The 25,985-nt window shown below is 39.6% G+C and overlaps 1 protein-coding gene across 5 annotated transcripts in view, besides 1 other annotated feature; it reads left to right on the forward strand.

Annotated features, from left to right (window-relative positions):
* Positions 5,018–5,897: a silencer, noted in NCBI's record as "silent region_14777". NCBI's record gives its function as "represses an Ori minimal core promoter by ATAC-STARR-seq in GM12878 lymphoblastoid cells {active_cell/tissue: GM12878}" and the evidence as "EXISTENCE:reporter gene assay evidence [ECO:0000049][PMID:35858748]".
* Positions 5,109–25,985, forward strand: part of RASA2 (RAS p21 protein activator 2) — a 128,318-nt gene continuing 107,441 nt past the window's right edge. For 4 of the 5 annotated variants that reach the window (NM_001303245.3, NM_001303246.3, NM_006506.5 and 1 more), the window contains exon 1: positions 5,109–5,298. In NM_001303245.3, coding sequence (NP_001290174.1) covers positions 5,166–5,298 — 133 coding nt within the window. In that variant the 5' untranslated portion in view covers positions 5,109–5,165. Of the gene's footprint in view, positions 5,299–20,226; positions 24,522–25,985 lie in introns of those variants that run through there. The other variant, XM_011513059.3, reaches the window with a different exon arrangement.

Here is a 25,985-nt window from a genome sequence, read left to right on the forward strand (position 1 = left end):
GGTGGTGATTTACAGGAAAGCTACCTGGAAAAGCGTTCCTCCCTAATATTAGGTTGGTGCAAAAGTAACTATGATCTTGCCACTGAAAGTAATGAAAAAGACATTTTAGAAAAAAAAAAATACACCTTCCTGCCATTGGATGTTGAGATATTTGGAGGTACAGGAGCCATATTGTGACCATGAGGCAAAAGCCAAAAGAATTGCAAAGAAGCTAACCCAATAAAGTCCTGTTTATGAATGAATACAGAGTAGAAAATGAAACAAGTGAATGGCTGCACAACATTTCCAGTTTTCTTTTTACACTTATTGTTTTGTATGTTTTTATTTGTTTGGTTGGTTTTGAGTTTTGGGGGTTTTTGTTGTTTTTGTTTTTTGATTTGTTTTTTTAATAGATTTGGGGTCTCACTATGTTGCCCAGGCTCGTCTTGAACTCCTGGGCTCAAGTGATCCACCCAACTCGGCCTCTGAAAGTTCTGGGATTATAGGCATGAGTCACCATGCCCAGCCTACACCCATTGTTTTGTTTTATCACTAAAATGACAAGAATGCACTGCAGATGGAATGGATATGGCAAAATAGTTCAAAAGGAGGGGGATTGAGAAATAACTGAAGTCACACTGACCTAAGGGCATCAGCTGTATTGTGCTCAGATATTCAGGCCTTTAAAGTTCTCTTGCAAGAGGTGACAGAATTTGAAAAAAAAAAAATTCTATTTTTAGAGACAGGGTCTCTCTCTGTCACCCAGGCTGGAGTGCACTGGGATGATCATAGCTCACTGCAGCCTCAAATTCCTGAGCTCAAACAATCCTCCCACCTCAGCCTCCTGATTAGCTAGGAGTACAGGCAGGCACGTGCCACCATGCCCAGCTAATTTATTTATTTATATTTGTAGAGACAGAGTCTCACGGTGTTGCCCAGGCTGCTCCTGAACTCCTAGCCTCAGGTGATCCTCCTGTCAAAGTTGGTATTACAACCGACTGTTGGATTACAGGCATGAGCCATCACATCTGGCCTTGAAAATATTTGTACCGAAGGAGTTGGAGGTTTTAAGGTAAAAATTTGTCCACATTTTTGTCCACACAGCCTTGTCAATGGCCTTATTTGGTCTTCAAATGAAATGTTGAAAGTATGTTTTCTGAACATTTAAGGTCTCTCCTCACCTCCTACCACTCCAATTTTATTTTTTAAAATGCCAGTTGGATTTAGAGATTTTTTTTTAATAATGTAATTAGTGCATAATGCTTAACATCAAACAGTACTCTGATGGGGCAAATGGGGAAACCAAGTCATCAATGATCAAAGGAACTTGCTTTCCCACCAGTCCGGCAGAAACAGTTCTGTCTCATGAGTGTCCAGCCCTATGAAAATGATCTACATTTAAATATTAAAAAGAAAGCACATTTCTCTTCCTCCTACTCGCCAGAAAAAATGTAATAAATAACTCAAGGCCAGGAGACAACCCCTTACAATGCCATGTTATAGGTTGGTGGGTGCTGATTCAAAAATATGCCGTAACAGACAAGTTATGGAATTAGTTTCTAGCTGCAGGTTATAGTCTTCTTATTAAGAGACAATGTAGTTTTCCTACATCATCTGCCATAAAGCAAGCCAATGTATGGGTTGAAATGACTGAATGAGTTTAAAACTGGTGAAGAAATAGGAAAAGACATAGTAGTGAATGGTTGCTCATCAGAACGAAGAGTGGTAGGGATAGAAGGGATGGCCTTTAAACACATTCATTAATAATTTGAGGAAGGAAGTGAAGTTCAAGTTTGTGATGATGCAATATTGTTCCAGTTACTAAACATCATGAAGAAAAGAGAGGAACTCTAGATGAATTTAAAACATAATGCAAGGGCAATAAGGGGAATGAGATGTAACAGCCTTCTCGTAATTATACTGTATGTCTTGTTAGTCTTTAGAAAACTTTATTTTCGGCCGGGCGCGGTGGCTCACGCCTGTAATCCCAGCACTTTAGGAGGCTGAGGCTGGTGGATCACGAGGTCAGGAGATCAAGACCACAGTGAAACCACGTCTCTACTAAAAACACAAAAAAAATTAGCCGGGCGCAGTGGCGGGCGCCTGTAGTCCCAGCTACTAGGAAGGCTGAGGCAGGAGGATGGCATGAACCCGGGAGGCGGAGCTTGCAGTGAGCCGAGATCGCGCCACTGCATTCCAGCCTGGGCAACAGAGCAAGACTCCATCTTAAAAAAAAAAAAAAGAAAAGAAAGAAAGAAAGAAAACTTTATTTTCCAAATATTTTATATTAAGGAAACATTGACATTACCCAAGATCTCTTCAAAGTAGGCAAGTATCAGTAAAAACAGAATAATTAGAAGTGACTTCGGATGAAAAAGCAATGGAGTTTGGGGATTTTAGTGAAACGGTATAAGTCCGAAATCTGCAAAAGGAAGACTGTCTGGAAGAACAAAAAAGTGGAGTGTCCCTTTATGTAAAATTGTTTTCATACCTTTAGTGACCATTTAGTAACAGAGTTATGCACTTGGGGTTAAGCTAGTGAAAAGGAAGGGAAGTTAGAAGATTTTGACACTAATGGACAAAGATATTGATACTTTGTCCATTGGATACGTTTGTCCATTGGATACATTTGTCCATTTGTACATTGATACTTTATCCATGGATACATTTGTCCAAAGGTTCAAATAATTTCTCTGTTTATTGGAGAAAGAAATAGATGGATGAGGCATCGCTTGGCCAAGCAGGAGGAAGGCCAGAATCAGGCTGGTGAGAAAAGGGGCTCAGTGTGGCTGGAGATCAGAGGAGTCAGGTACGCTGGATCCAGTTCCAACTCTTGGCTGAAGAATTTGAACTTTAGTCATTTCTAGCATTGTTCATTACCTGTAGTGTGCTCTTGCTAGCTGGCTGAAGGGATAAATGAAGCCACTGATGTCCTCTTGAGCAGGCAACTGATAAGCTCCATTTTTTTTGTTAGGAAAGTTAATTTAAGTGGTATGTAGGAGGAATGAGAGGGATGGGGGACTTATTACCAGAGTTCCAGTCAAAAGCATGAGGTCAGTTACTGAGGTAATCCTACTACGTGCTCAGCATTCCACTAGACACTTAACACCCTGCTCCCAATACTTATTTAATCTTAATAACAACCCTTCAAAGAAGAAAGTTTAGCATTTCCACTTTACTGTTAAAGAAACAGGTTCAACCGGGCGCAGTGGCTTACACCCAGCACTTTGGGAGGCTGACGCGGATGGATCACTTGAGCCCAGAAGTTCAAGACCAGCCTGGGCAACATGGCAAAACCCCATCTCTACCAAAAATACAAAAATTAACTGGACATGGTGGCGCGCACCTGTAGTCCCAGCTACTTAGGAGGCTGACATGGGAGGATAGCTTGAGCCCAGGAAGTTGAAGCTGCAGTGAGCTGAGATCGTGCCACTGCACTCCAGCCTAGGCAACAGAGCAAGACTGTCAAAAAAAAAAAGAAAGAAAGAAAGAGAAGAAACAGAAACAGGTTTAGGAAGGTTGAGTAACTTGCCCAAATGTAAAAGGGGTAGAAACAGGCTCTATGTCTGATTCTAAAAAGGGATGCCTTTAAAAATAAGGGGGAAAAAACCCTGTAACACGTTGATACTCTTTAAATGAGAATAATTTTAACAAGGGCAATGACAGAGAATGGAAAGGAAGGAAGAGATTTCAGCAGAGTCAGAAGGATGTGGCAACTGAAAACAGCATTGGGACAAGGGATAAGAAAAAGTCAAAGTTTCTGGCCTGAGTAACAGTATAAGATGTGAACTCAGATTTGGAAAGGGAGACAGGAAATTAAGTTTTGGACTTATGTTTGAAATGACAGCAAAACATTCATATAAGAGGAAGTGGTTCACTTTATCCAACAAGTGTAAAGATCACATGGGGAAATAGAAGTCACCTGCAACACAGGCAGAACTGGAAGCTTCGCTGGCCAGGTCCATGTTAAACTCTGACCATTCTCTGGGGCTGTCCAGCCTTTGCACAGGCGGCGCGTTTGTCTTCAGTTTTCAGGTTTCCCCGTCCTATTTCTTATCTCCCAGTGCCTCTGGCCTTTTCTGTGTCTCCCTCCAGAATGAGCTGGAGCTCTCTTCATCTTGACCTTTGTGTAGTCTCTGAGGTCTGAGGCCATCACTATGTCTGACCCTCAAAAAATATTTGTTGACTGACTGGCTTATTCCTGTTGTTGCCCTGGAAAAGAATTACCCTGCCCGATTAAGTCACAGTTTCTTCCTTCTTAGGGCAGCGTAGTTAACAACCTCAACACCAGGAAATTGTCTTCCTCATCACATACCAGGGTATTATTCATGCAGTTTACTCACTGTAAAGAGTTCCCTTGAAATAAAGCTAACAATTAGTCAAAGATTTACACATTTCCTAGGGTCAGTCAACTTTTTAACAAAGCCAACTTTTAGTAGTGGTGGCGGTGGCGGGGGGGAGCCCTTCTTTGCTTTTTCTGTTCCTGAAATACAAAAGTGATGGTAAATGCTTCAGAATTTCTCTATGAGAGGGTCTCAGGCACTGCACTCACGCTGGAGTTGGGGGTGGCTGGTCCTTTTCTTGAACCAGGTTTTGCAGAGAATTGGTCCTAGTAAAGAGTATTTGTGTGGGAGGAGTTTGGCTTGCTGGCGGGGAGTATTTGGATAATACTGGAAGAGCCTCAAATGCATCTCTTGCCTCCTTTTGAATAAGATACTTTTGAGGTCCACCCACCTGCCAAATTCCATTCTATTTTCTTCCCACAGGGAGTTTCCCTGATTGGGAAGGGCCTGTATTTCCCGCGAGCGTTAGGAGATGTGCAGGTCTATTCATTGGGGGAGCCCAATTCCCGGGAGGATTTAGGGATCACGGGAGGGCCGGGGCGTTCTCCTGGTGGGGATTTTAAGGCCGCTCAGAGCCACGACTGGGAGCTACCCTTAGCCAGCGCCCCAAGCCGGGAGTACGGTTCTCTGCAGGGTAGCCCGGCTCGGGGGTGGCGAAGGCGGTGAATGGAGACCCGGGGGGGGCGGGGGCGGGGCCGCGGCGGGCGGGGCGGGGCGGGGCGAGTCGGGCCGAGGCCCGGGGGCGGGGCCAGGCGCGCGGCTGGCCTGGGCCTAGGCCGCTGCTGGGCTCCGCCTCGCCCGGCTACGCAGGCGGCAGGGCTGCGGCACGGGCCGGGCGGCACCATGGCGGCGGCGGCGCCTGCTGCTGCGGCGGCTTCTTCCGAGGCGCCAGCGGCGAGTGCGACTGCAGAGCCCGAGGCCGGGGACCAGGACAGTCGCGAGGTTCGAGTGTTGCAGAGCCTGCGGGGCAAGATCTGTAAGCGGGGGCTGGGCTGAGGGGACGCCCTGGCGGCGCTGGGCGCGAGGCTGAGGGGGCGGCGGGTTCGCGGCGGTGGCGGCGCCGAGCTGCGCTGGGATCGCGGGCCCGGGAGGGGGCCTGGGCCGGGCGCGGTTGAGGCTGGAAGGGGGTGTGTTGGGGGGCGGCGTCGCCTCGACGGGGCGGCGTGGGCCGGGGCTGCTGCTCTCCGGAGGGAGTGGGAGCTGGAGATGGGCCTGGGGTGGGAGAGCCCGGGCTGCGCCGGCGTGAGGGGCTCGGTCGTGGGGAGCGGCCTGGACGCGGGGACGCTGGAGTCCGGGGCGCGGCCGGGGGCGCGGTCCGGGGGCGTGAGGAGCTTCCGGCCGCCCTCAGACTCAGGCCTTCGCGCGGCTGCGGGCGCTGGGGAGTGGCCCCGCGGTGGGAGCCGAGCAGTAATTATACGGAGGCGCGGCCCGAGGAGGTGGCGGGCTGGGAAGTGGGGCTGGCCCGAGGGGAGGGGGCTGTTCGTTTCCTGGGCTCGGCGAGCCTGGGAGAGGTTGAAAAAGGCGCCCTGAGCTGCAGGAAACGGGCCGCCCTGGGGCCCGAGTGGCTACCGCGCGGTCTGTTCGCGGGTGAGCGCCCCGGGAGGAGCTCGGCGGGACACCTGTACTTGCCCCACCTCGCTGCGGCCGGGACTTGAATCGAGGGACGGCGTGACAGGCGGGACTAAAGGCAGGATGTAGTGGCTTCCTGTGAGCAGGTCTCAAAACACAATCACCCAGCCCGCACTCAGCCCGCTTAATTCCCTTCCTTCTCATGCGTGTAATTGCTACTTTAGTGAGCGAGCCTACCAGTTGACTAAATACGAAATTTTGCTCAGAGTTGTCCGAGCATTACTGTGGACAGATTATTTGAGTTCTGTCATTTGAACATTTTAGTTTTAAAAACGACCCTTTGGTGTCAGGTTGCCATTTTTTTTTTCACAGTGGTTTATTTAGATGAAGTGCTTTTTGTTTTCTGTTTGTAAGAGAGATCAATAACATTTATTTTTGCATTTGTCGAAAATTAGCATTATTTTCTTCATGCAGTATTCTCAGATTGGAAACATGCTTCATGTTTCTTATAAATAACCCTCAATTATGAGGGCGTACTTTTCACTTTGAAGAAAATTGACTTGCATTAAAGTGGCTAACAATTCTTTCCTGGGCAGGATGTAAAATTTTCCTCTCCTCTAATACCAGTACTGTTGAGCTCACATTCTCCCACTTTTCCTCTTTTCAGGTGGTTCACGTATTTGGGATTTTATGAAACCTCAGAAGCAGACATGTTAACTTTTCTTATCTTTTTATTCCCTGAGGTAGTCCTGGGGCTCTTAAGAGATTACAGTTCTTAAAACCTGGAAAGTGACACCAGAGAGGTAGATCTTAGTTCCCAAAATTAAAGTTACTTTCTAGGGCATAAAACCTTTTCAGAATTCAGATTAAATTTTATTTATTTTTTCTTTTTTCTGTAACCTTATATTTGAGGGGAAAATTTTGTTTTCAACTTTTGCATATATCTAATTTAACATTTGGGAAAACTGTAAATGGGCCAAAGTTTCTCCCTTTATATGATTTTCCAGATTTTTACCACTTTCTTAGTGCCACTTGATGCTAGGCATTGTCTATTGGAGACTCACTGGTACGTAACTGCAGGTTTTACCATGGAACTACATATACACATGTCTTGGAATTGAGGGTTAGGGTTTCCAGAAGGACTTAGTTGTCCTGTGCTTTTGTCTGCCCCATGCCAAAGACCACTAAGAACAGTTTTGTAAGTGAAACTTGGGTCTACACGTTAAAAAAAAGAAAAACAAAAAACCACTTTGTTTCTATGGTTTAAAGCAACCCTGGCTTGGAAATTGATCATCCAGCTGCTGGGAATGATATTACTGCTTTAACCACAGTTGAAGTATTCTATCTGTTATCCTAGTCAGTTTCTTGCTTTTTAAATTGCTTATCTTATAGCTCAGGTTATGGAGTGTCTGCTTTCTAGAAAAAAAAAATGTATTTGTATACTTATATACAGAAGCTCTCTTCCCATTTCTTTGTCCTCCTTTTAAATGATGTAATCCACAGTTGGTTGACATTCAGAACCTTGTGAAGAGATGCTGTTTTCTGTTTCCCTGAAACTAACATGTGGGTTTTGTAGGGTGGGGACTGAGGGGTTGGAAGAGTCATTAGCAGGTGTCAAGGTCACAGAAATGAGATGGTGGTGGTTCTGACAAGATATTAAGCAGCTTGGGGAGGGTGTAACCGTGTCAGCTTTTCTCTTCACCACAGTAGGAAACCTTGGAAGAAAGCCTGATAGTGCCCACTAGGAGATGTGCTGGCAGATTTTATACTACTGATTGAGAGCCTCTTTTCTGGAGAGTTAGAGATCTGTAGGGGCTGAAAATTAGCCTGAAGAAATTTTCTTATTTCTGGACTTGCATAGGACTTTTAAACTGCACATCACCCCAGTGAAAAGTGAGGATGGATTGGTTTATGTATCTTGAATGTTCAAGAGATAATAGTCCATAACCTTCTTTAGGGATTTCATTCCTGTAATTATTTCCCCTTATACTTCACAAGGTGAAATATCTGTCAGTTGGACAGATATTTGTCTATTGGACAAGAGGAAACTTAACAAAAAGTGGTAACCAAAAAGGTGGAGGTCACAAAATAACAACATGAGACCTCAATATATATAAAGGATGAAGCCCCAATACCCCTTTTTTGCTTGAGTGTACTTTTTTTTTTTTTTTTGCCGGGGGGCTGGGGAGGAGGGAAGAAGGGACATGCAAATATGTTTCAGGTGTTTTATATGCGCTCAAACGAACCCAGGGAATTCGAGATCCATCTATAAGACAAAATATTGTCAGCAACCCTGGATTTGCTGCAGTTTGCGCTAGGAAACCATGACAGTTCTGAATTGTCTGCTTCCTTAAACTTTTTCAAGAGGTGAGTTTGGTTGTTTGATATCCTAAGGTTGTCATATGAACCCTTGATAAAGGAAATTAGGGGTGTACTCGACTCCATTCTTCGGTCTGCACTCCTGTGTAGCGAGTAGCAAGTATGCTAGAACACCTGAAACACATTTGCATGCTCCCTCCTCCCCTCAAAAAAAAAAAAAAAAAAAAAACCGTATTCAAACAGAAAAGAGGGATTGGGGCTTCCTCCTTTATGTATCTTCAGGCTTCATGCTGTTATTTGGTGACCTCCTTTTTGATTAGCACTTGTTAAGTTTCCTCTTATCCAATTACATTAGATTGTAAAAATGTTGCGGAGAGCACCCATGCCACCATATGTGTGGGCTTATCTACTCAAGGAATACCAGATCAATAAGAGAGCCAAATGGGAAAATTTTGTGTGAATTTTCAGATGTGTGGTACAGTGCGAGATCTGTGGGACTATGTGTTCCAAAACTCACTTAGTTTCTCTGGTGTCTTCAGACCAAGAATAGCCTAGGGTTATTTGACAGAGTAGGGAAGATCTATAGGGTATGGTTAAGTGCTTGAGCTTAGAGGCTGGGTGAAAAAGTTAGTTACCTGGGTTTGAATCTTCACCTAATTTCCAACTTTTGTTAATGTCTTTGGGCCTTCATATTCTCATATATAAAATGGGGATAGTAAAAATACCTATCTCACGGGTTGTTATGAGGTTTAAATAAGCCTCCCTCCCTACTCTGCCCCTCCTCATCTCTGCCTGCTCTTTCTCACTCCCCAGGATCTGGGTCATACACCGACCATCTCTTAGGAAGGAGTAAAGTAGGAGATAAAAACTAATCTTCATCTGATGTTCTTGTCCAATGTATACTGGAGTTTCCAGGTGTACAAAGCTGATTAAAATCTGAAGACCTATATTCTTCTTTAAACGTTGTTAATTAATCTTCATATGGCGTTAGCCAGCTCACTTATCTTGAAGCTTACCTTCCGCATCTTTTAAATGGGAATGATGCTTTTCCACTATCCATTGTATACAGGTTGTTCCCTCTGCTTGGGATTGTCTTTCTTCTTTACTCCACCCCATCTTTATGTCAGGAAGCTCCTACTCATCCCTCAAAAGCCTGCTCTATGTGATCTCCTTCCCAAAACCTTCTGAGACACTTCCAGTGCCATCTCTGGCCAGCATCTCTGCTGCTGGGGAACACAATTCCTTGCTCATTTCCTTATTATAGCACATTTCATAGAAATCATTTGTTCACTTCTCCTGTTAGATTGTGAGCTCTTTCAAGATAGAATTGATTCTTGTTCATTTTTAAAAAATCATCCCAGTGTCAGCACAATGCCTAGAACAGAATAGGCCTTTAGAATATGCCCTACCTCACAATGTTATCCTGTGGATAATTACTAGATATGAAAGTATTTTATAAATTATATACCTAAAAAAACTAGAAGGTGTTAGTATTAAGAGAAAACTGTATGAGTCTGCATCAGGAAGTTCATCCCTTTCAAAATCACAGTGCCCACTAAGCTTAGGTTTGAATTGATGCCAAAGTTGCCTTGTTAGGAAAAAGATTAAATTTTTCTTAATGCTCTGATTACTTATTATTAGGGCATTTGAATATTGTTACTAATTGGTCCTGGAGCTTGGAAAAGAAAATCTCATATTCATACTTTACACATTAAGTGTTTTAATTTGACATGACAGGTTTGAATAAAACCGTCTATTTAATTCTGTGAAGTATAAATCAAAACATTTTATTGACTATCCAGTAAAGTTGAGTGGAAGAGATTAAAAAGGGTGTATTCATGCTAAGAGTTCATTTTTATCAGATATTTGAAATGAGATGATGAGTTATTTAGGATGGAGGAAGAATCCATCTTTCAGATGGATAGAAACTGGGGAGAAAAGGGTTCTTTGTAAAAGTTCACAGAGCAGTCTGCTAATCATTTGCTCTGTGGAAGACGGGAGGTAAACCTCAGTGAGTTCATAGAGTTGTTTTTTTAAAACTTAGAACTCTTTGAATAGATCCTTAAGTGACTAATATAGCCAGAATAAAACCATCATTTTATCCTTTAATCATAGCTGCTAATCCTATTTCCTTGTTAATGTGCTTTATGAAATTATTTGACAATAATATCAGATTACATGTTTTTGCTACTAATAAAGTTCTATTCTCTTTTGAGAACTGCAAACAAAATGTTGTATAGTCATATATTCATGTAAGTTAAGCTTTTTATGTGTATTAAGACATTTTTATGGCATCTCTTTAGGTTTGTATGTAATTTTAGTTATCAAAAACCCCTATCTAAAGTGATAAACATTAAAAGTTTGTATCAGTACACATACAGAGAACCATAAATGACAAATTTGTTTTCCTGTCATTAATGACAATGACTTTGGGCAAATTCTTTAACCTTGCTGAGCCCGTATTTCCTTACTTGTAAAATTAGAGGTTTGGATATGGTCTTTAACATCCCTTCTACCATTTTGATTATTGCTTTTTAACTTGAACCATTTGCTTTAAGGCAGTACATCAGATGCTTTATTTTAGTGTTTAAATGTATTTAGTACACTTGTTTTGCATGATTCACTGTTTTAAAAATATTTAAGATTTATTAGATAAGAGCGTTTGAATTCTAAATTTTTTTTCTGTGACTGTTAATTAATTCAGCAGCACGTAATACATATCGAAGGGTCTGTTAAGAGACGCTAACCCACTGGACTGAAATGGGCCTAAGCTGTGAATCGGATGAAAGATCCTATTTTATCCTAAAGTCTATACTAAGCAATAGCTGTTTTTAGACATCTGTATTCTTAGACAATTATAGAAATTTAAAGCTGGAAGGTAGAGAACATGAAGGTAGAGAAAATAAAGGTTCTTACCCTTCATTTTACAAATGAAGAATCTAACAGAGACAGCAAGTGTCACACAGTTGATGGCCTGTTCGGCACTAGTCCACTATTATCAAAGTTCTTTCTAGAATGCTATATGAGATTAACTTATTACTATGAATGTTGCAAATGTACTACATTTAATACACAGAGATTATACTACTTATCTGTTTATATATTGAGAGGTGGTAAGATTTTCACTGTGCCGTCTACACACTCTTAACTGTTCCTTCTTAAGAACTTTGTGAAGTGGTTAGGATTAGTGATGAAACTATGGTTATGACCTAGGTGGAGATTGAACCTGGATGTTTAGTTACTTGTGCCATGGTCTACCTCAGCTATTTTCAGTTCTGACTGTCTGTCACCATCACCTGTGAACTAAAAAAATTATGATGCCCAGACTGTACCCCAGACCTACTAAGTCAGAATTTCTGGTTTCAAAAGTTCCATAGGGGGTGATGTTGGGCAGCTAGGATAGTGAATTTCTGCTTTTGTCACAAATAGATTAGCCACATACCCTACCTAAATGATGGCAACCTGCTGTGCTATCATTTAAAAGGTATCAGTAGAAAGGTTGGTATAGTTACAGTGAGATTTTAGTTTGTTTGCATATATATTTGATATATTAATTCTATTTGATTAGATAATATGAACACTTGGTACAAAATTCAAGAGGTACAAAACAGTATATACATTGAAAAGTATTCCTTCCTTTCATTATCTTCTAGCCATTCCCTCCCAAGAAGCAAGCATTACCAATTTGTTATATCCTTTTTGTTGTGTGTTCTTCCAGAAATTAAGCATTTACAAACATAAATTTATGTGCACTAATATATTCCTTCCACCAACATACAAATTATAGCAAAATATATACATTTTTCTGTATCTTGCTTTTTTACACTTAACAACATAGCTTGAAGATTTTTTCACATTCACATAAAGAGAGATCTGCCTTATTTTTTAAACAACTGCATAATATTTCATCATTTGGCTGTACCACAGTTTATTTAGCCAGTCCCCTATTAGTTGACACTTAGGTTGTAAACAGTCATTGCTATTACAGACATTACTACAATGAATAACCTTGTAAGCATGTCATTTTTAATATGAGTGTCTTTTTGTAGGATACATTTCTAGATAGATGTTAAATTGATGAATTGAAGGATATGTGCATTTTTATTTTGGAAAGACAATGCTAAACTATAGCAATTTAAGCTCTCACCAGCAATGTATGACTGCCTATTTCTTTATACCCACGTAGGGTGTATTTTAAAACTTCTTAATCTTTACTGGTCTATGAAATAAAAAGGAACATTTAATTTGTAGTTTTAATTTGCACTTTTAAATGAGAGTGAGGATTGCTCTGTCACCAGGGCACGATCTTGGCTCACTGCAACCTCCGCCTCCCGGGTTCAAGCGATTCTCCTGCCTCAGCCTCCCGAGTAGCTGGGATTACAGGCATGTGCCACCACGCCCAGCTAATTTTTGTATTTTTGGTAGAGACGGGGTTTCACCATGTTGGCCAGGATGGTCTCGATCTCCTGATCTCGTGATCTGCCTGCTTCAGCCTCCCAAAGTGCTGGGATTACAGCCGTGAACCACTGCGCCTGGCCCTAATTTTTAAATTTTAAATTTTTCTAAGGCTTGAAATTAAGTTATAGGATCTCTTCATATTTTTAAGAGCCTTTTTTTTTGATGTGCTATGTGAACTGGTCTATTTCTTTTGTCCTTTTTTTTCTGGTGAGTTACAGTCTTCTTGATTTGTGAGAAAATGCTTTATGCTGTAAGGAAGTTAGCTATTATTTTAAAACCTGTGCAAAGATTTAAAAAATCTGTATACTTTGGCTGATGCCTGAATTTATTCTTAAGTTGATTGTGAGATCCAGTGAGGGCAGTCAGTTGTAAGTTTCATCTACTTATATAACGTCTGATGGTTGAGAAATTGAGAAAGAACTGCTTGAGGAAAGGTAAGTGAAGACTTATAAACAAAAGTTAAAAGACAATAGATTGGGAGAAAATATTTGCAGTGTATCCTTCAGACAAAGGAAATGTGTATAACACTGAATTCTTTGCCAGGCACTGTTTTAAAGCACTTTATGCGTATTAACTAATTTAATCCTTACAGTAACTCTAAAAATACCATTATTATCCCCATTTTACACATTATGAGGAAACAGATACACAATAGCTAAGCTAAGTAAATTGACCAAGGTTAGATGGCTGGTGAATGGTGGAGCTATCAATCAGACTGGGCAGATTGGCTCTAGAGTCCATCCTGTTAACTCTTAACCTACTGTGCTATTATGCCTCTCTATTTATTATGTCCAGATTATATAAATAATTCATACAGACTTAAAAACAAGAGGCCATTAGAAAAATAAAGGATACGAATAGGCATCTCACAGGAAAGGAAATACAAATGTCCAGTAAACATGAAAATATTGGTAAAGTAAAAATTAATCAGGGAAATAAAATTTTAAAACATCAATTTACAAAAAAAGGAAAGTTTATCTCAGTCTTTGGTGAGGGTTTAGGGAAATAAGTATTTTCCTCATTGTTGTTGTGAGTTTAAATTGATAAAGCAATGTTGGAGAGCATTTTGGCTATATCTGTTAAGAATTTAAATGTCTATACACCATGCATTTTTACTTCTACCTATTTGCCCTGCATCAACAGTTGTACATTTAGAGAAGAGGCATATACAAAGATATTCAATGTTGCCTTGTTGGTAAAACAGAATAATTGGAGACGACTTAAATGTACATCGGTAGGAAAATGGATAATATGTTCATACACGTATTCTATAGCAACTAAAAAGAATGAGGTATATCTATGTTATGAAAGGAAAGAACTCCAGGATGTCTTGTTGGGTAAAAACAGCAAGTTGTAGAATAATATGTGTAGTATCCTGTGTATTGTTTTAAATCTCAAAACATTTTACTTTTCTGCATGTAGATGGATAAATACATAAAAAGAGGTCTGAACAGTTGTACAGATAACAGTGATTGCCTCAATGGTGGATAAAGGGAGTTAGCCGGTGCTGGGAAAACTGGCTAGGCATGTGTAGAAAGCTGAAACTGGAACCCTTCCTTACACCTTGTACAAAAATTAATTCAAGATGGATTAAAGACTTAAATGTTAGACCTAAAACCGTAAAAACCCTAGAAGAAAACCTAGGCAATACCATTCAGGACATAGGCATGGGCAAGGACTTCATGTCCAAAACACCAAAAGCAATGGCAACAAAAGCCAAAATTGACAAATGGGATCTCATTAAACTAAAGAGCTTCTGCACAGCAAAAAAAACTACCATCAGAGTGAACAGGCAACCTACAGAATGGGAGAAAAATTTTGCAATCTACTCATCTGACAAAGGGCTAATATCCAGAATCTACAAAGAACTCAAACAAATTTACAAGAAAAAAACAACCCCATGAAAAAGTGGGTGAAGGATATGAACAGACACTTCTCAAAAGAAGACATTTATGCAGCCAACAGACATATGAAATAATGCTTATCATCACTGGCCATCAGAGAAATGCAAATCAAAACCACAATGAGATACTATCTCACACCAGTTAGAATGGCGATCATTAAAAAGTCAGGAAACAACAGGTGCTGGAGAGGATGTGGAGAAATAGGAACACTTTTACACTGTTGGTGGGACTGTAAACTAGTTCAACTGTTGTGGAAGTCAGTGTGGCGATTCCTCAGGGATCTAGAACTAGAAATACCATTTGACCCAGCCATCCCATTACTGGGTGTATACCCAAAGGATTATAAATCATGCTGCTACAAAGACACATGCACACGTATGTTTATTGCGGCATTATTCACAATAGCAAAGACTTGGAACCAACCCACATGTCCATCAGTGATAGACTGGGTTAACAAAATGTGGCACATATACACCATGGAATACTATGCAGCCATAAAAATGGATGAATTCATGTCCTTTGTAGGGACATGGATGAAGCTGGAAACCATCATTCTCAGCAAACTATCACAAGGACGAAAAACCAAACACCACATGTTCTCACTCATAGGTGGGAATTGAACAATGAGAACACTTGGACACAGGAAGGGGAACATCACACACCGGGGCCTGTCGTGGGGTGGGGGGAGAGGGGAGGGGGGAGGGATAACATTAGGAGATATACCTAATGTAAATGACGAATTAATGGGTGCAGCACACCAATATGGCACATGTATACATATGTAACAAACCTGCACATTGTGCACATGTACCCTAAAACGTAAAGTATAATAAAAAAAAAAAAAGAGCGAGTTAGCCTTATCTGTAATGGTTTGATTTCCTATAGGGAGTATATTTATATATTATATTATCAAAAGTAACTATTTATATAAATGAACTTGATACAGTATTAATCTTAAGCTGTGCCAGTCTCTGTTGCTCTACTTTGGAAGACTATCCTATCTGCAAAACAAGAGTAATCAAATGTTAGGTTTTGTAACATTTTGAGTGCTATAGAAGAAATAAAGTCAACTTTTCTGTTAAGTTTTTTTGGTAACTTTTGATATAATTTCAAACTTACAAATTGTAAGAATAGGCTGAGGAGGGTGGATGGCTTGAGCTCAGGAGTTTGAGACCAGCCTGGGCCACATGGCAAAACTCCGTTTCTACAAACGAAAAAAAAAAAAAAATGCCAGGCATAGTGGTGTGTGTCTTCAGCCCTAGCTATTAATACTTGGAATGCTGAGGCCAGAGAATCACTTGAGCCCAGGAGGTTGAGGCTGCGGTGAGCTGAGGTCGCACCACTGCACTCCAGCCTGGGTGACAAAGTGAGACCCTGTCTCAAAAAAAAAAAAAAAGTAGAAATAATACAGCAAATTCTTATATACTTTGCCTGTTTGACTAATTGTTTATGTTAGAAAAACTTTTTAAAATTTTAATACATTGTTTCAGAGAAATGTGGTAAAAAGGGTCTGAAAATTTTGGATCCTTTAAAATATGACATTTGTGTGAGTGGTACAGAATTTTAGTTTTGAATTTTACAGTTTTATATAAAATATTCTTGGTAGATGGGGTGAACTAATGTTTATTGAGTATTTCCTGGTTTCCAGATGTTGTGTTAGGATACTTTGCAAAATATTTCATGTAATCCAATTTCATGAAGAAGATTGTTATTCCTATTTTAGAGAAGAAGCAACAGACAGAGGTTATTTGCTCAGGATTGTAAGGGAGCAGAGCCAAGTTTTCAGAAAGTCTTTATGTTACCAAAGCCCACATCCCTTTCTCTACAAAGCTGCCTGTGAGATGATATATTGGAAGGAATTGATGAATACATTTATGTTGTCAAGAAGTTGATAATTACTCCTAAATTGGCTATGGTCTAATGTAGTGGATATTCAATAAAATTATGATGTTTGAATGCCATAAGAATTTATCTTCTGGCCTGTTTTGGGGGTTCATGAATGTAATTATTTTAGCTGCCTAACTGCTTATGTGGGTTTGTATGTACTTTTGAGTGGTTCTTGGATATGTGTACACACATACATACACACACACAGATATACACATACACACCTTTATATGCTCATGGGTGTAACTTCTTTATGTGTCTAGGTGTCTTTTTTTTGTGGAGGGGGGGCGAAGATCAATATGAATCCTATTTTGGCCCCCTGGATGCTGTCACCAGAAATAACAGCCATATCCCATATATAGCCTGTCCATGTAGCCCTGAGTTCTGCCAGCACCTGGCTTTTTGCCTTCCTTTTGTTTGTCATACCAGGCTCTCTTGGTCACCTTGGTAGCCTTGCTAAGCTTCTTGTAGCTATAGGTACCATTGGCTTAGCCCAGAAGAGATTCCTGCCATATGTACTTCAGAGTTTGGTTTGCCACTTGAGGAAGGGGTCTGTAGGGAGCTTGTAGATCAGCACACATTCAAAACTGAAACCGGAAGTGGGCAAGGCAAACCACAGGAAGATCCTGCCCGCAACTTGGTGACGTATCTATATAACCCATAGACACTTCCTGGCAATACCTTGTGAAACTTGCCTTTTCGTGTATAGTAGTTTCCTAACTTCTTGTTCTAGATTAAGCTTCAGTGAAAAGTGATTAATATGATAGCAGTGTAGATAACTGTATGATAGTTATTGTGCACATGACTTCCATGCAGCAACTAGCCCCGATTATGTTCTGTAGACTTTATCACTGAGGAGTTGCAGTGGTATTTATGCGTTTACTTTGACTTTGTCTTGTCACTAGCCATTGTCTTACTTATGTGTAATTGTACTTATATATAGTTCAGGTTTTATACCCACAAAAACCCTTGTGATATAATACCACTATACAGGATTGCCTTATTTATGTGGAATTGTACTTATATATAGTTCAGGTTTTATAGCCACACACACACACACGAAAAAACAGTTCTTTGCTTCACTGAGTCTCGGCTAGCCACCCAAACTGTGTCATATTCCTAGAGTCCTGTGCCCACTCAAGTGTTTGCTCACTGGTACTACCTCATTTTATCATAGTGCCTTGTTCTTAGGCAGAACCAGATTTCTGGTAGGAGTTATTTAATGTGTTGATTTTTTTTTTGAGACGGAGTCTCCCTCTGTCACCAGGCTGGAGTGCAGTGGTGCGATCTCAGCTCACTGCAACCTCCACCTCCCAGGTTCGACAATTCTCCTGCCTCAGCCTCCCGATTAGCTGGGACTGCAGGTGCACGCCACCACATCCAGCTAATTTTTGTGTTTTTAGTAGAGGCGGCATTTCGCCATGTTAGCCAGGATGGTCTCGATCTCCTGACCCGCCCACCTCGGCCTCCCAAAGTGCTGGGATTACAGGCATGAGCCACCGTGCCTGGCCAATGTGTTGTTTTTTTAAAGATTACCAATCGAGTGGGATTATAGACTCTTGGATTATTTTACAGATACAAGTCATTTGCCAGGAGTGAGGAAAATTGCTTGACAACTGAGTTATCTCACCATGTTAATTTATGCATTGGAAAACTCTGCTTAGTGGTAGATATTCCAGCAGTCACCATATGCCTATTGGTACTATTTCTCATTCTCTGTCTGATTAATGTCACAAATGTGTAACTTTCCAGTGGTGTTTTCAAGATGACAGTTAAGGAGCCACTAAGGAAGGAAATAACAGCTACATAACTTTTTTCTTTTCAGTAGTTCTTGACAGTCCCCCCTCCTTTTTTTGTTTTTGTTTCTTCATACCCTGCAGCAATCTGATGTACTCTGAAGGGGGTAAATTTGAGACTCTTTGGAAGGTCATGTGTGATAAAGACAGTTCTTCTCTTCCTTTCTCCATTCAGAACTGTTAAAGATAAATCAATGGGAGTGTTTTTTTCTTGTGTAAGATTTATTATATACAAAATATTTTTTAAGTGTGTGAAAACTGATTAAATGATAAAGGCTAAGGTAGCATGTTTAAAGCATGGTTTTCTGCTACTTTTCTACTAATCACTTAACCTCTCTGAGCCTCAGCTTCCTTGTCTACAAATTAGGAATAGTAGTTTTACTAATCATATAGCATAGTTGTGAAAAGGTTAAATGACTCGGTATACTGCCTGGCATTTTGTGCTCAGTTAAGTGTTGGTTCTAACATGAGCAGTAGTGATACTCATAAAGTATCTTTTCATAGTTTTCTTAATGGATAACTTATTTGATAGAAATGTACTGGAGTATTCATACTTACATGTATATCCAGTTCTTGTAGTGTTCATCAGGTTAAACTGGCAATAAGTGTTAATATCTGAAAGCATTAGAAATCAGTGTTACTCTGTGCTTTTTAAATTTCAAGTGTTGTCTCTCAGATTTTATTTTTTTATTTTTTATTTTTTTTGTCTCTCAGATTTTAGAGCTATAGAGAACCTAGAAGATTAACTGGCTAAGGAGTTGCAAACTCAAATATACACAGACCAGGTATAATGCAGTAAAGCCCAGCAGAGATTATTATGATTTAGTAAGATACACCTGTCTGCAGTTTCCACTCAAAATCATTTTGCCAGATTTTGATTATTAAAGAGAAACCAGAAATACAAATTTATTTATTGTTAGCTCTCAGTTTCTAGATGGTCACAAATTATTTTTTAAATTTGGTGCAGGCCAAACAAATCTCTGGCTAGCCAACCTCAGATTTGTATCCTCATTTTAGAGATGTGGAGCTTGAGGTATAAAGGTTGGACGTGTTTCCATGTATTTCCTATAATAGAAATCCATTGATTCTGTAACAAAGGACTCATTTTAAACAATGACCTCCTCTGTTATACCCAGTTGTTATATTACAGGTTATTTTTGGTCAGGAGCTAATGGCTTGGATGAAGGGAATTGTATATAGATGCTAATTTTTAAGAATGTCTAGCCAAGAAAGGGCACTAATAGTTACTATCCATTGAATATTTACTCTGTCTTAGGCATTGTGCCAAGCGCTTTACCTTAGTTAATGCTCACAACAATCTTGAAGCATTATAGTTACCTCTTTTTACATAAGAGGTTGAGAGTAAGGACATACAGATAGTTAAATGCAAAGTTCATGTTGAAACGCAGATGTCTGCCTCTGTAATGCATTCATTTAACTTGCTATACTATACTAGTACTGTATATGTTTTTATAATTATGCATACCTTTTATCATATTGCAAAAATTGAAATTAAACTTTAGAAGAAAATTTCAAAGACCTTATGATATATTACCATTATATAGGGTTGTCTTATTTATATGGAATTAGATTGGCACAACAGCATTTTAATTTTACTCTAAACTAGTCAATACCAGAGACTATATCATATTTTTAAATGTGCATTAGATTCATTCTTTCTCACTCTTTTTTTTTTGTTGTTGTTGTGAATGTAAATGACAAAATGTGCATATTTTATATCTTTTCATCTCCTGAAGTTCTACTGTTCTGTTTAGGTTGATATTTCTATTACTGGTTGAGCATTCCAAATTTCAAAGTCCAAAATTCCAAATGCTCCAGGATGCAAAACTGAGCACCAACATGATTCTCAAAGGAAATACTCATTGGAGCATTTCAGATTTTCAGATTTGGGATGCACAACTGGTAAGTATATATAATGCAACATTTCAAAATGTAAAAACATTTGAAATCTGAAATACTTCTGGTCCTAAGCATTTCAGATAAGGGATATTCGATCTGTATTAGAACATTATGTCCTGAGTCATTCAAGCCAGTTAATGCCAAATTCTGTGGATTCTGTCTCCATAGTAGCTCTTCTATTTTTTCTTTCCTCCTATCTCCCTTTGTTACCTTAATGTAGGCTCTTCAGACTATCAGAGTACTTTTCCTGAAGTATGAACCACACAGAAACTTTTAGCGACCCTTGTTGCCTACTGAATAAAGTTAAACCTTAGCTTGGCATTTTAGGTTCTCTGTTTGATACTAGCTGTCCTTTATAATCTTTTCCCTCTCATTCCCCCTTCATCTCTCTTTATGCTTTAGTCAGTTTATACTATTCACTGCCTCCTCGATGGTGCTCTTCTTGTTGCCACCCTCCAGAACTTGTTCATGTTATGCCTTCCTCCTGGAACGTTATCCTCCGATCCCCAATTTCTGTATTTTGAAAATATATATCATTCAGAAGAGTTATTGTGAAGATTAAGTAAAATAATATATATGAAGTCAATGAAAAATCTGTGTAATACATGTATTAATTTATTCAGTAAGTGGTAGCTATTATTATGATTTGGCTTTCTGTCACCCCAAATAATCCTTAACTTTGGATCATCTTGTCCAGGACCCTGGCTCTTTGCAGTTTTTCTAGGGGATTAATCCCACTGGGACCCATGTTGGCGCCTACCCTTGTACTTCAGGTAACCTTTGAAGCAGACCTGGACCTACTACATCTCTTTCAGATGGGAATAGTTTCTCAGCACAGCTGTATTCAGAAAGACCTTAAGAGTTGAATAGAAAGACTCTAGGCTTTGGAGTTTGATTTATGCCAGATAACCTTACCAGCTATGTAACTGAATTTTTTTTTCTTAATTTATGAAAGGGAATAGTAATGCTTATCTCACAGGGTTGTCGTACCGATCAAATGAAACATTTGAGAAAATATTTAACACTGTCTTGGAGCATCTAACTACTTAATAAATCTTTATCTTCTTTTCTGTCTTATCCCTGTAGTGTCCTCCCCTAGGACATGAAGAAACATACATGCAAACCTTCAGGTATAAATGCATGCACATAATCCTCAAACATCCACATAGGCACATAGGTACATACTCACATATGTACATACTCACATACATGAACAGAAGCATATACATCAGAATCTCTACCTTTGATAGTAGCCTGATATTGGAATTTTTGTCCTAGATAAAATTTATATGGTAGGATTTGAATTTACTGTCTGATGACTGTTACATGGAATCATTGATCTTGTACATAGAGAGTTGGCTGTTTTTCCATTTCTGTTAATCTTAACAGTTTTGATTTGATGGTGTTTATCTTTCGCGCTTTAAACTATTTACTTTTTAACAATATCTAAAAGCTGCTGTTTTCTATAGTTACATGTCTCTCCTCTTTTTTCAGGTATTTATGCAGAAGTTACTTTCTCAATGAAGCCTTCCTTGAGCTACCTCATTTCTTGTGGTGCCCATACTTATTAGTATTAGGCCATACATTTTTACTTATTTATCTTATTTGTTGTCGATCTCTCCATGTGTGTTAGCCTAATAAGGACACAGACTTTTTGTCTGTTTTGCTCACTGTCATATCCTAGCAGCTTAGTAGGTACTCAGTAAATATTTGAATGTGTGAACTTCAGCACTGGTTTATTTTCAAAACGTCTCTGTATTAATACAATAAAGATTCTTTAAGTGCTTTTGGTAACTGTATACAGGAGACTTTTTAAAAAATCTTTGGAGTAGTTGACATAAATCAACTTAAATGAAATGGAAAAAAGAAGTTTACATACAATTTTATGGTTTGTGATGTGGTATTGGAACCTCTTTTTTGCCCATGCCAAAGTTATATACACACGCATTGATACTTATTCAGCAGCTGTTTCATTATATATTTTATGCTAAGGATGGTGCTAAGAATTGGTCCCCTTCCTCAAGAAGTTTATAGTTCAGTGAAGAGACAACCAAACTGCTTTTGCTTGGTTGTGTCTCATCTTTACCACCTCAAAACATTAGAGAGCCCTGAGGCTCAGTCTTCAAATTTCTTTTCTATATTTGCTCCCATTGTGATTTTGTATTGTCTCTTGGTTTTGTAAATTTTATGTACTTACTGATGATTCTCAAATTTTTTCTCTATCTAGGACCCTTTGTCCTTGGACAGATTGTCTGCACTTGGATGTATAAGGCATCTCAGATTTAATATTCAATACAGTCTCTTGAATTTGGTCCCCAACAAGAGGCTGTGTCTCTAGAAATAGCATCTCTATTCATCCAGCTGCTCAGACTAAGACTCTTAGAAGTCATTCTTGACTACTCTATTTCTCACACCCTGCAGTAAATCCTGTTGGCTCCATCTTCAAAATACATGCCCAAATGACCCATTCTCTCCAGACCCGTGTCTGCTCTGCCCCTCCCCTGACCTGCAAGTTTTCGCTCATTGAGATTACTACAGTAGCCTCCTATCTAGTCACCTGCTTCTACCTTTCCCCTCTGCACTGATTTTAAAACAAAAAATCTTGCCATTTTTATGCTGAAAATCCTTCAAAACCTTACCATCTGACACACAAAAAAAGCCTAAGACTTTCCCGTGCCTGTAAGACCTTATTTAACCTGTCTCCTCCCATACCCTTACTCCATCTCTTACTATCTCCTCCCTCTCCCCACTTTGCTTATTGCTTTGTAGCCATACTGCCCTCCTTGCCACTCCTCCAGTGTGCCAAACTATCCTGTCTCAGGGCCTTTGCACATTTTATTCTTTCTGCCTGTCCGTCTCCTTCCCCAGATATCTGTATGGCTTATACCCTCAATGACTTCCTTCAGGTATCTGCTTAAATATTTTAATTGAAAGGCCTTCCCTGCTTCCCTATATAAAATAACATTGACCTCCTCCCTGTCTCTACCCTCTGGGCCTGCCATTCCCTAACTCTCTTAACCTGCTTTGTTTTCTTGAATAGCAATAAATATTTATTTCTTCCATGACAATAAATACTATATGCTTATTTAAGAGTTTGTGGTATTTGTCGTCCCTGTATATATTGTACAACAGTTTCGTATGGGCAGAGACCTGTTTTTATTCACTGTTATATCCCCAGCACTTAGAACAGTGCCTCGTGTGTTTAGGCACTTAGTAAATATTTGTTGAGTGAAATGCAACAAGTACAAAACAATATGATCACTGTAGTAGAGATGCAAGGTACAGTAGAAACACATGGGAAAGAGTGACATGACTACATAGGAATTGAGGAAGACTTTGCAAAGATGCCCTTAAGCAGAGCTCTTTGGAGAGAAAAACAGGTAGGGCATTTCATACAAAGAAAATAGCATTGCAGATACACAGAGGAATGAGAGAACAGTGTGTTCAAGGAACTAAAATATAGTACTGCTACAGCATAATTTGTGGGGGTAAAGATGAACTAGATGAGGTTGAACATGTAGTAGATAGCACCTGATCATGGAGGGATGGAGGGTTTTTGTGCCAGACTAAGGAATTTTAGATTTTGTCCTGTCAAGTGGGCAGTGGTAGATAGTGTGAGCCATTGAAGACTTCTAAGCAAGGGATGTTTTATTTATATTTATTTATACGTGTCTCTGTGTTTGTGTGTGTGTGTGTGTGTACGTATTAAAAAGGTAACTAGCAACATTGTGAAGGTTGAGTATCAAAGCTAAACACAGCATTTTATTTAAGATATGTATGATTTAGGAAGATATGATGTAGAAAAACAATTACTATCACATGTGGGCGAGAGGATATTTCATTTTATATTTGGACAAAATCATGGATGTATAGTGGGAAGATGTTCTTGGCATACTTGCAGTACATTTGTGAAAGAGAAGAAATGCACAATGGAGGATTATTCTGTTTGTCTTTGAAAATCCACCCTTTAAGAAAGAAGACTTTAAAAAATTAGTTAACAGTTATGTTGTAAGTCGTAATGTACACTAGAAAAGTGCTTAAGGAGTACCAGTTATGAATCAACAAGAAAAGATGTTACAGAATAAAATAAATTGTGCTTGAATGTCAACCTCCTTTCTTCGTAGAGGAACAGTTGGTTGTCATTGATATACCTCCTGATCTTGATTTATTGTTGAAGGAAATAGTGACAGTTGTACACACAATCAAATCTATACTGTTTGCTGTGGGAACAATGTATCTGCCTTTGTAGGACAAATGTCTGCTTTTGCATATTGCAGGACTCCGCATGCACAGAATTTTTGAAATGAGGGATGAACTATAAAAACATTTCTTCCTTTCATTCAAATGCAAGTAAAAACCATTTTTATTATTTCAGCTGGCTTGCTTGTGTCATATCTTAGCAATATATTGAATTTCTTGAATACTTTATTCTTATTAATTTAGGGTCAAACTATGATTTGTGAATTTAAGGATAAAATAGAGGCACCCAAAATGGTGCACACGATTTGAATGTTAAGAATTTGGATTTGGCACTCCCAGCCAGGCATGGTAGCTCACGCCTATAATCCCAGCACTTTGGGAGGCCAAGGCAGGCAGATCTCTTGAACCCAGGAGTTCAAGACCAGCCTGGGCAACATGGCAAAACCCTGCCTCTCCATAAAATACAAAGCAAATTAGTCAGGCATGGTGGTATGTGTCTGTAGTCCCAGCTACTCGGGAGGCTGAGGTGACAGAATCACGTGAGTCCAGGAAGGCGAGGCTGCAGTGAGCCATGATTGTGCCACTGCACTCCAGCGTGGGCGACAGAGCGAGACCCTGTCTCAAAAAAAAAAAAAAAAAGAAAAAGAAAAAAGAATTTGGCATTCCAAATTCATGAAAATATGAATACTGTATTATTGAATATATTTTTAAAATTTTATCCAAATGCTACAGAAGATGAAGAAATATTTTGTGAAGGTAGATACAACTATATATGGAGTTAAGATCCATTTCCCAAGTTAAAGGATTCCCTTTTTAAGTGTGCTGCTATTCAACTCACTATCTGATGGAACAATGAAAATAATTTTCAGTGAAAAATTGCTTGGTAATTTCTGTGTCCATGTTTGATCCAGATAGCCACGTGTAGCCGGTGGATTTACCCAACCATGATGACCAGTAACTCAAAGTGGGATTTTCTAATTTGTTGGAAACAAAGGTTAGAAAAGAATTGAGATTAGGTGACAGCATCAACTCTAGTTAGTTTAAGCAGAAAGAGCTTTAATAAAAAAATTTTAAGTGGCTTACAAAATTGTTGACAAGGCTGAAGAAACAGACTCTAGATCTAGAAAAAGCCATGTTGCATCTAGGCCACCAAGAGAGTTATTGCCTCTTTTAGGATCAGAAAGACTTTTGCAGAATTGTGAAACTGTAACTTTTAGATGCCTGTCTTAGAACCTTACCACCTCTGCCATGATCAGGAGTCTACTACTGTTAGGAAATAGCCATTAGCAAGCAGCCACCTTCCTCAGTAAGCCGTTGTTGTTGCTGGCCCTAGAGCCAAGCCCTGCCTACCACAACCTGTACTGCAGAATGGATGCCTTGTGCCTTTCTTAATATTCATGAAATCTGTGACTGAATACTAGGACTTCAACAAATACTGCTGTGAACATGAACATCTCCATGACAATGTTTGCTAGTAAAACAACCCAAACTCAACCTCCCTTCTCTTCTGTCCTTGAAATTTCTAGTGAGTGCATCTGGTTGGTGGAACTTAAATCACATTTACAACTGTAGCCACAAGAGAGGCTGGGAAATGTATTTTTTAACTTTCT

The sequence above is a fragment of the Homo sapiens genome, chromosome 3, assembly GCF_000001405.40.
Source record: "Homo sapiens chromosome 3, GRCh38.p14 Primary Assembly".
NCBI classification, from domain to species: Eukaryota; Metazoa; Chordata; class Mammalia; order Primates; family Hominidae; genus Homo; species Homo sapiens.